Source organism: Homo sapiens, chromosome 8, assembly GCF_000001405.40.
Source record: "Homo sapiens chromosome 8, GRCh38.p14 Primary Assembly".
NCBI lineage: Eukaryota > Metazoa > Chordata > Mammalia > Primates > Hominidae > Homo > Homo sapiens.
In genome coordinates, this window is record NC_000008.11 from 58,441,756 (window position 1) to 58,452,816 (window position 11,061).

Here is an 11,061-nt window from a genome sequence, read left to right on the forward strand (position 1 = left end):
AAAGGAGAAACTGATGGAAGAAAGTGACAGAGATCAGTGGTAATAATGCCATGTTAATTTACTAGCCATATTGATCAAGATTTTGATTATGGAAAACAGAATCTACTTGCTGGTAGTAATAGGTTTCTTACAGGATCTTGTGTAGTTTATAGAATATCTGGAAGAGGCAAGCAAACCAAGCTTTCCTTAGCCAGGAGAAACAAACACAGTGGAAGAGTGTTCCAGAGAAAACAACTATGTCCCCTAGTCAGGTGCTTGGTGCCCATGAAACTAGGGACTAGATACTAGAACATTCCATCATCGAAGAAATAAATGCCTCCACCACCTTAGTAACCACAAGAGCTACAGAGTTTCCACTTTGCAGTGCTTACTTCCACCAAACAAGTGTATGTTTGTTTGGTGGAAGGGTAGAATCATGAAATCCTAGCTGCAAGAGAGTCTGGGAGATGGAGTCTTTAGAATTTTCAGCTTCTAGTAGAAGGAGATAGCATGATGATGTGAGCCTATGTGTTCACAAACCCAAATGTTGAATAAGCAAATATCATATATTCTAAAGTGAAGAATTACATAGAACATTTTATATTAAAGATTTACATTAAGAAATATATTAAAAGTTTAATAGTTAACCTTCATTTAGAAAGTAACTTTCTAAAATGGCTTGGTTCTCAAGAGTTCAAGACAATTATTTACTGAGCAGGAAATAAAAAGAAGCAAGTAAAACAGAAATGAAAATAATCTATTGTCTTCCATAGATGGCAGTCTAATTACACACAGAATGTTACATAGATGGGAACTAAATCTTTTCATGTGATATACAATTATGGTGCAAACCAAAATGCTGTAAAAATGTTACATAGTACCCTCACATAATAGAAGAAAGCAAACCATAGATATAAAACTGCAAATTTGCAATGGTAGAACAAACTGTATTATTGAGTAAAAATTAGCTTGGTGAGCTAGAGTAGTGCCTAACAAAATCACAGAGTCATTTTTAATAGGGAGGACTAGCGAGTAGGCATTCTTGGTAGGCTTTTGAGCTGGCGTGTATAATGATAAAAATCATGATTTGAAGCTGATGTTTCTGCAGAAGAACAGTCACTGCCTGTTTGTCCTACTGTTCTCTTCAAAAGATTGTGCTTGCCACTCTCACTTACCTGAGATTTGACTTCATCTGGGGCCCTAGACCCTGAGGGCTGTCTTCTCTAAAACTTCAAAGCCTTACTTTATCTCAGCTCCTCAACAGCTGTGAGCTGACTGAAGCCTGACTGGGTTGTCAGCCCTGTGTGACTCAGTACTTCTGGGGACAGCCTCAGCTGTGCTGAGCAGGCAGTGCTGTGCCTCGCCAGTCTCACAGGCCTGAGCTGCTTTCCTAAACCCCCTCCTCGACCCCTGCCCCTCACTCTCAGCAAATTTCTTTGCTTCCAGCTTCATTGAGAAAATAGAACCTGACGGGAATTCACATTCTTATTATGTTTCCCTCCAGCCTTCAAGCTGGTCATTTCCATCCTCCTCTCCCTCCATAAGTTTGAAGAAGAGGGTGTTTCTCCTGTCTCTGAGGGAATTACAACCTACATCCTTTCCTGCCATTTGCCTACAAACCTTGTTGTACCAATTAATTTCTCTTTTCTTTCTTAAAAAATTTTCTTTTTAATGTAAAAGTTTTACTATGGCTTGATCAATTGAATGATAGGGAGAAAGTTTTAAATAGCAAACAGATGTGATTTTGACAGCTAAATATTAGAATTAACATAACTTGCATGGGCACAGTGGCTCACACCTGTAATCCCAGCACTTTGGGAGGCCGAGGCAGGCAGATGACTTGAGATTAGGAATTCAAGACCAGCCTGGCCAACATGGCGAAACCCCATCTCTACTAAAAATCCAAAAAAAAAAAAAAAAAAAATTAGCCGCATGTGGTGACAGGCACCTGTAATCCCAGCTACTTGGGAGGCTGAGGCAGGAGAATCACTTGAACTCAGGAGGCAGAGGTTGCAGTGAGCTGAGATCACACCACTGCACTCCAGCCTGGGCAACAGAGCAACACTGCATCCCAGAAAAATAAATAAATAAAATAAATTAATTAACATAACTTTTTAGGCTGGTTTTTTAATACCACACTACCAGCTTGTCCAGCTATCTGTCTGTGTGGTTCTGAGCATGTCTTTTAGTCTCTCTGTGACTCGGTTTCTTTTAGATAAAATGATATGGTTGGCCTAAATTATGTTGGAAGTCCATCCATTCCAGTTCTCAAATGTTATTATTCCATATACAATAGTTTCATTGTGACATACACACATTTTCTTACCTAGCTTCCCCATCCTCCATTTTCTGTTTTGAGAAAAAGCATACCTGGTCAGAATCTGCCTTAAAACAGAAAGCAGTAGATTACAAAAATAATAGGGAGGCAACTTGGTGTGTAGAAAGAGCCCAATATAAACCTCAGCTCTCTCACTTACCAATAGGAATATTGGGGGTAACTTTTTTTTTCCAGAGTTGTTGTTAGGATAATTATAATGCTAATAGCCAACTTTTAGTAGTGCCAACTATATAAAAGCACCATTTGAAGTGCTTATGTGTCCTAATTAATTTAATCTTTACAGCACTGCTGCTGTTGGCTCTCAGGCACAATAAGGGTAAGTGACTTGCCTGGTGTTACAGAATAAGTGCAGAGTTGGGATTGAAACCAGGTAATCCAGCTCTGAGAACCATGCTGTTAACACTGCTTCCCAGGCTGATGTAAATGAAATAATGCATGTGGCAGAGGTGGTAATGGTGGTAGTGACGATGATAATGTGTATACCTGGTTATCAGTGAGGCGGAGGTAAAGAGGACCTTTGCATTCAGTGTCTCATGTCTTTTCTCTTGGATTTTCATCCCCCTCCCTTGTGTAAGGAACGCTGGACTCTTGGCACAGTAAACCAGATTGGCAGTGCAATTACTTAGGCCCTCAATTCCAAATTAAAAAGAAATTCCTTAATATCTGATCATTTATTGTAAGTCATAATTTTAACCTTATGTATATTTTTATGTATCCTCAAATCAGTTCTAAAATTAGCATCAGGAAATAGCTAAAGAAAGAGAAAGTGTCAGCAGTTAGTACCAGGTAATTTTATCACTTTACTGTGTACTCTGAGAGAGAAGCTTTTTGAATGGAAGTAAGAGTCATGATGATTTAGATTGGACTAAAGCCCAAATGCTCATAGAACTTTTATACTAGTAATATGTAGATACATGCGTGTCTTTCTTCCAGAAGAAAATAATCTATAGGAAACCATCTAAATCTCAGAGTTCAAGAGAAAAAACTTCAAGACTATCAAAAATTCCTTAAGATGACTGAGAAAATTGAGCTAAATTTATTTGAATTATTTAACCAAAAGAGCACTCCTCTATTTTTGACATTCACTTTTGGCATATACTGGCTGATCATCCTGCTAGTGTTAGAAGGGGCTAAGACAGCAATGCCAGGGTCACTAGTAACCAAGTTCTAATGGTAAGATATTCTATCAAGCTTCATTATGAATTTATTGTCATGTAATAACATTTTATTCCTCAATGGTACTTAGAAGTTATTTCTCTTTTGCAAAGCAGTGCTTGAATCAGATGTGTTTAAATGATATTAACCAAGTCCAAATTAAATGAATTTAGTGCTGATAATATGTTCACAATAGCTGGCACCCGTTGAAACACTGTGTTCTAGGCACAATATTAAGGACTTACTGGTATAATATACCTTCATAACATAGTATTATTCCCTCACTTTATAAATGATAGAACTGGGATTCAAAATGATTGATGTACTTACTCAACTTTACACAGTTGACATGGCTGGGATGTGAAACCATGTCTGTCTGTGCTCTTAATGATTCTTTGACCCTAACTCAGAGTTGCTCGTATTTCTAAATAAAACTGGTTTGCTAAACAGTGATGAAGTTGCAAACAGTTAAATGAGGAAAGGATGCAAAGTTAGGCTTTTATGAGAGATTAGATAAACCAAATAAGAATCGTAGGATCCAAAATAACTTTAATATAATGAAAGAGGTTGAAAGAAGTATAGGAGACTCAAATGAAGCCATGTTCTAAGTGTTTATCGCTGTCTTCAGTTTGTCATATATTTTACACATTCAGATTTGTGTTTAATTCCTCTTTTTTAGCCTTACACCTGAAATAGTCAGTACACCTTCCTCTCCAGAAGAGGAGGATAAATCAATACTTAATGCAGTTGTTCTTATTGATGATTCAGTGCCAACAACAAAAATTCAAATCAGGTTAGCAGATGGGAGTCGTTTGATACAAAGATTCAATAGTACACACAGGTAAGCTTCTTTACCAACAGTGTCCTGTTTGCTGTTATATACACTGGATTGCTTATCTAAGTAGAACTGTATGTGACTTGAGTAATGAAGAATATGATATTCTTTAGGTTTACTTTTGAAGTAAGTTTTTGACAGAAGAAACATTTTTAAAAGGACAATAGCTGTGTTTAAGAAATGAAATATGTGGTATTTAAACAGTCTCTATAAACTATCCAAATACTAATGTGATCTCAGATATCACACAAAAATAAATTAAGAACTATAGTTTTACGTTGTTACTAAAACTATATGAAGTCGAATCAGATTTAATTTAACATAGTAAAACCTTTTGGGGACTTTATTCATTTAAAAATTTGTGATAATTTTGATTGGGATTAATTTTCTGTATAGCAAATACTTCATAATATAAATGTGTATTGTAAATCAAGTTTAATTGTACTTTTGTCAAGAACTTCAGATAGTTTTAAATGTTTCTTTAATATTGACTTGTACATCAACATTTGATTTGTCCATTGAAGTAAGACCCTAATAGATATATTTATGATTTTGGTTGAATTACTATGTTTATGTGAGAGTAATTTTTTAAAATTATTCCTATGATAGCACATTTCATAGTTTTAGACTCACCTTGCCACAGGCCAATCATAGTTACCTTTTTCTGGGTCATATGCTGCTAACACATTTTATACTCCGAAAAAAGTACAACCTGCATTTTTTTTTTTTTTTTTTTTTTTTTTTTTTTTTTTTGAGACAGAGTCTTACTCTGTCTCCCAGGCTGGAGTGCAGTGGCGGAATCTCAGCCCACTACAAACTCCGCCTTCCAGATTCAAGCAATTCTCATGCTCAGCCTCTTGAGTAGCTGGGATTACAGACAGCCACCACCATGCCCAGCTAATTTTTTCTGGTTTTAGTAGAGACGGGGTTTTCACCGTGTTAGCCAGGCTAATCTTGAACTCCTGGCCTCAAGTGATCTGCCCACCTCTGCCTCCCAAAGTGCTGGAATTACAGGCGTAAGCCACCGTGCCCAGCTGGACCTGCACTTTTAAAATAACAACATTAGTACACTTACTTTATTCATAACTTACCTGAAGATTGTTTCCATTTTACAGGAAAAGTAAATGTTAAGTACACACTAAAGTTACTTTACATTTTAACTGAAGCCTAAGATAAATCCTTCAATTGAAATACTATATATTAAAGAAAGTTACAACACCTTTATATAAAGATTAAAATTTTGTGATTTTTATTATGATTCAGTTTTAAGTTTACATGAAAATATGATTTTTTATATTACAAATTATTTTTGTCTTATTTCTTCAGGATCCTGGATGTCCGGAACTTTATTGTACAGTCTCGTCCTGAATTTGCGGCTCTTGACTTTATTCTTGTGACTTCATTTCCGAATAAAGAGCTAACAGATGAAAGCCTGACACTGCTAGAAGCAGATATTCTTAACACTGTGTTACTCCAGCAACTAAAATAATATTGTTCCTGTCCATGCAGTAGCATGTGGGAATAGATGATGTGCCGTATTAATAAGGACAATACTTCAGCATTAAAAACAGCCAAATTATTTTTATTATTTTTACAGATAAATTTTGGTTTTATTGTTATTCTGTCTTCCAATCTGAATATAGACAAATTTGGATTAGGAATAGACCTTGAGATAAGTATGTTTGAGTTTTTAGTTGAAGGACTGGCTTATGTTGATAGTTTTTGGATTTCTAGGCAAATGAGTTGTTACATGCTTAGTGTTAATGTAACAACATTTGTTTGCAGAGAAAAATGAACAAAACCCCTTTTTGATAAATGCATTTGGTAAAATTTGCACTAAAGTTTCTTGATGCAGCATTGACCAACAGCCATTAAGAAATCTTTTGATCAAATAAGTTGAAAATTTGTCTATAATATATACTGAAACGTGTCTTTTGATTTTGAAATTGTTTGATCATACAATAATTATTTCTCCTATTAAGATTTTACACATCCTTTTTACTTACTGATTTAGATATATTACTAGTATCAGAAACTACAGTTTTGCCTTGTATTTTACAGAATTATGACTGTTGTGAACTTAAACAGAAACACATAAAGGTCAGCAATTCTTTTTTTTTTTTTTTTTGATATGGAGTTTTGCTCTTGTTGCCCAGGCTGGAGTGCAATGGCATAATTTCTGCTCACCGCAACCTCCGCCTCCCAGGTTCAAAAGATTCTCCTGCCTTAGCCTCCCAAGTAGCTGGGATTACAGGCATGCGCCACCATGCCTGGCTAATTTTTGTACTTTTGCTAGAGACAGCGTTTCTCTGTGTTGATCAGGCTGGTCTCGAACTCCGAACCTCAGGTGATCCACCCACCTCAGCCTCCCAAAGTGCTGGGATTACAGGCATGAGCCACCACGCCCAGCCTAAAGGTCAGCAGTTCTTAAGAAGATATGGTAAACAGCAACAATATTTTAAAATCAAGTAATTACAGTTCCTCCCAGAGCTTGCGTTGATCACATTCATTTATTCATTCAACACATTTTTCTAGGAAACTCACTGTATACACTAAACACTATTCTGTGTGCTCAACCTAGAATGTCTTCTCCAGAACAAGACTAGTGTAGAAATACAGGAATGTAAATTCTGTCAGACGGACTAGATCTAAAGAATTACCAGCATAAATGTTTGCATTTCTGCTGAAGCCAGAAGCTTTTCCTTCTTCCTAGACACCATTTCATCCTTAATTATTACTTCTGGTTAGTTTTCCATTGCCACCATAACAAGTTACAAAATGTGGCTTAAAATAGCACAAATTTATTATCTTCACAATTCTGTAGGTTAGGAGTCCAGGTTAAGAGTTTCGCGGTGCCAAGATCAATTTGTTGGCAGGGTTGCATTCTGTTAGGAGGCTCTACAGGAGAATCATTTCCTTGTCATTCCACCTTCTACAGGACATCCTCATTCCTTGGCTTGTGACCTCCTTCTTCCATCTTAAAAACCAGTGCTGTTTCATCTCTATGACCCTTCTGTTACCACATCTCTCTGACACCAGTGTGGAGAGGTTCTCTGCAGGACTCATGATTAAATGAGGCCCACCGGATATCCAATCTAGGCTTATCTCCTTGTCTTGAAATCCATAGTAACCTTAATTACATCTGCAAAATCTCTTTTACCATCTAAGGTTACATACAGGTTTGGAGATTAGGACATTAACATTTTACATGGAACATTATTCTTGCCTACTACAGTTCCCACCCACCCCCCGCTCCACTCCTGTGTTAAAGATTCAGATTCATCACAAATAAATTTACATCACTCATAGGTGCTCAAAAGTCACAATCCATTATTACAGCATCAACTCTAAATCCAAAATCTTATCTGAGTCTCACCAACTCAAAAGTCTCAAATCTCACATTGAAGCCATCTAAATTAAGTTTGGGAGAGGATCTGTGTGTGATTTCTGGGACATAATTCCAACTGTGCACTTGTGAACCTAGAAAACAAGTTATCTGTTCCCAAGTATGATGGCATGACAGGCAGACAATAATAGTTACACACGTTCCTGTTCAAAAAGCAGAAACAGATGGAAAAAGGAGCCATCAGCACCAATCAATTTACAAAACCAGCGAGGCACCCTTCTTTAAGTTTCAAGGCCTGGGAGTAATCTTCAGCTCACTGCTGTTCTCTGGGCTTGTTGACTGTCTCAGAGTCATCTTTACTTTTTCACAAAAGGTAGCACACGTTTGCAGCTGAGTATCAACTTATCAGTTTGTTCTTCTTTTATATTCTCTAAAGCTTTCTGTTAAAAATGGTGGTGCTTCTGCTGCTATAACGTTGTCAAGAAACTTGTGGGTCTTTTACATATGTCACAGGGATGCACTCATTTAGATAGGAGGCTCCTCACGTATCTTTCCTGGAAAATCCTGTCTCTGTTTTTGGCTTTTTCTGAAATAGCTGAGAGGATCTATGATTCACACCCTTAATATCTTCAAAGAGTCTTGTGTGTGACCTGATATTCAGACCTTTTGATGTTTCTGAAGTATTAGCAAAAGGTTATACAGCCATATCTTCATCACTTTCTCTAGAGTAAAGGCTGTCCTGACGGTGAATCTTAGTTTTAGTGGCTTTTGCCATTTGAATAGGCCGCGAATTTCCCAAATCATCAAGTCCTGGTTTCTTTATATTTAACAGGTCTTCCCTCAATCTACCTCTTTCCACATTTTACTATAATCAGCAAGAAGACAGCAGGCTGTACCTTCCACAGCTTGCTTGGAAATATCCTCAGCTAAATATTGAAGTCATCACTTAAAAGTTCTGCTTTACACATAACGGCAGGACACAACTCAGCTTAGCTTTTCGCCACTATGTAACAAGGACTCCTTTCCTCCACTTCTCCAGTAACATATTCCTCATTTTTTACCAACAGTCTATTCATGATGATTTAGATATTCTATGGCAATCGAGGTATTCTCTATTATGCTCCTTTCTTCAAGGCCGCCCTAGCATTAACATTCCATATTTCTACTAACAGTCTGTTTAAGGCAGTTTAGCTTCTTTTCTGGCATGCTCCTCAGAATTCTTCCAGCCTCCACCTACTGCCCAATTCCAGAGCCACTTTTCTACTTTTAGGTATTTGTTACAGCAGCACCTCAAGTACCTAGAAAACTCTTTTATGCCTGCTTCTCTGCCAGATGACTTGAATATGGTACTAGATTTGGAATTCACCTTTCTCCAGGGTCACTGTTTATTTCAAAGAGGTGAATTTACCTGTGCTAGGGTTTTCACACTGGGAGTGCTACCAGAACTACCACAGGATGAAAGTGGTGAGCCCACCACTGCAGAGAAGTTTTCTCAGTGCCGTAATATAGAGGAATTCTCAAAATAAGCCCTACTCCTTTTCACTTACTGAAAACAACTTGGATAATGTGTAACAGCCAGCCCCATTTCAAAAAGATTACCAGGGGTAAAACAACTTTTTCATGGGTCAAAATCATCTTCCGAAGAAAATGATTTCTTAAAAGAATTGAACATTGTAAATCAAAGGGCATTGTCCTGTTTTGGATTAACAAAACAGGAAAAATAACCAATCCTTGTAAAATTATTTGAAATTTTCTTGTTTTTATCAGTTGAGTGCCTATAGATGCACATACAAAAACAACTGCCATTTTTGTATATAATAGTCTTCCAAGATAGAGATTTACATTAGGAGAGAATTAAACATCCAGGAGGGATGAACAGTATTTCATGTGTGCTATGTAGTGTTTTGCTTCATTGAGAGTCATTTTCATGAATTATTTTTACTACTGCAGTCATCTTAAATTTATAATCATCTCAAAAAAGATGTCACAATGAACAGACAACCATCTGTGAGGTCAGTCATTTTGCATGATGTATGTAATCAAAAAGTTTGAAATGTCTGCTTACTAATAAAGAATGTTTTCACTGAAACTTATTGGAAAGGTTTTTCAAATTTTCTTTGATTTGTAGTTTTGAGTCCTGAATAGATTGTTTTAACATGAATAACATTTCCTGTGGTTTAATTTCCCTTGGCGCACCTTTGTCAGGGACAGGGAAGGAACTGGTTGTAGCATATTATCTGAATATCCTGTTACTGTTTCTGTTTTTATTCTACCCAAATAAAAAGGTTCAGGTGCTTCTTTTTTGCCACAATGGATTTCTGAAAACCTTGTCACAACTGTGAAAGGAAAGCAAATCTTGGGACCCCAGAATCACTAAGCTAAAGGGAAAAGTCAAGCTGGAAACTGCTTAGTGCAAACCTGCCTCCCATTCATTCTATTCAGTTATCTCTGCTCACTGAGATAAAGGCCTGTCTGATTGCCTCCTTTGGAAGGGCTCATCAGAAACTCAAAAGAATGCAACCATTTGTCTCTTACCTACCTGTGCCCTGGAAGTCCTCTCCCACACTTCGAGTTGTCCTACCTTTCCATATTGATCCAATGTCCATCTTACATATATTGATTGATGTCTTATGTCTCCCTAAAATGTATAAAACCAAGCTGTGCCCCAACCACCTTGGGCTCATGTCATCAGGACGTCCTGAGGCTGTGTCACACCTGTGCATCCTTAACCTTGGCAAAATAAACTTCCTAAATCGAGACCTGTCTCAGGTATTTGGGGTTCATGCAACGTCTATTGTTAAAAAGTGCATCATGTTGAAGCGGCCTTGTCTGGGGCGACACCCGAGGTTCGTTGTCTCACAGCCACAGAGATCAAAAATGCGGACACACAGGTTAAGAGCTGAAGTTTAGTAGGCAAAAGAAAGAGAAGATCTCTGCTACCAAGAGGGGTCCTGGAAAAATTGGTTGCTGATCCGCAGTGAAATGTAGGGAGTTTTATAGATCAGCTAGTGGGGCGGGAGTAGTGCTGATGTACATAGGGTGCAAAAAGCCAGTTAGGAACAGGTGTGCCATCTGCATAGGGTATAAATCTCTGGCAGCCCCCACCCCAATCTTCTATTATGCAGGTGGGTTCTCTGCCTGAGCTTCTCCATGTTGCCCATTTCTTTCTTACTGTACACATGCTAACAAAAAAGGGAAGATGGAGTTTCCATGGTGGACATGTCTGGCCCCCAGGTAACCCTTTTCTATTGGCACAGCTGCAGGCCTCCTCCCGTGCAATCTTCCAGCTTCCTTACCTATGTTTGCAGCTCGATCTTTCAGGCTGCTCTTTGTTGGAAAAGAAATGATTTCTAGGGCTGCTTTTTGTTAAAAGGGAAGTTCTGTTGAGGACTCTTTTGCCCTCACTAT

The 11,061-nt window shown here is 37.7% G+C and overlaps 1 protein-coding gene across 3 annotated transcripts in view; it reads left to right on the top strand.

Annotated features, from left to right (window-relative positions):
• Nucleotides 1–9,746, top strand: part of UBXN2B (UBX domain protein 2B) — a 40,141-nt gene extending 30,395 nt beyond the window's left edge. For all 3 annotated transcript variants that reach the window (NR_156456.1, NM_001077619.2, NM_001363181.1), the window contains 2 exons: nt 4,152–4,313; nt 5,634–9,746. Coding sequence is in view for 2 of the 3 variants with exons in the window: in NM_001077619.2 (NP_001071087.1) it covers nt 4,152–4,313; nt 5,634–5,796 (325 nt within the window). In the remaining variant the exon portion in view is untranslated. The remainder of the gene's footprint in view (nt 1–4,151; nt 4,314–5,633) is intronic.
• The last annotated feature ends 1,315 nt before the right edge of the window (nt 9,747–11,061 follow it).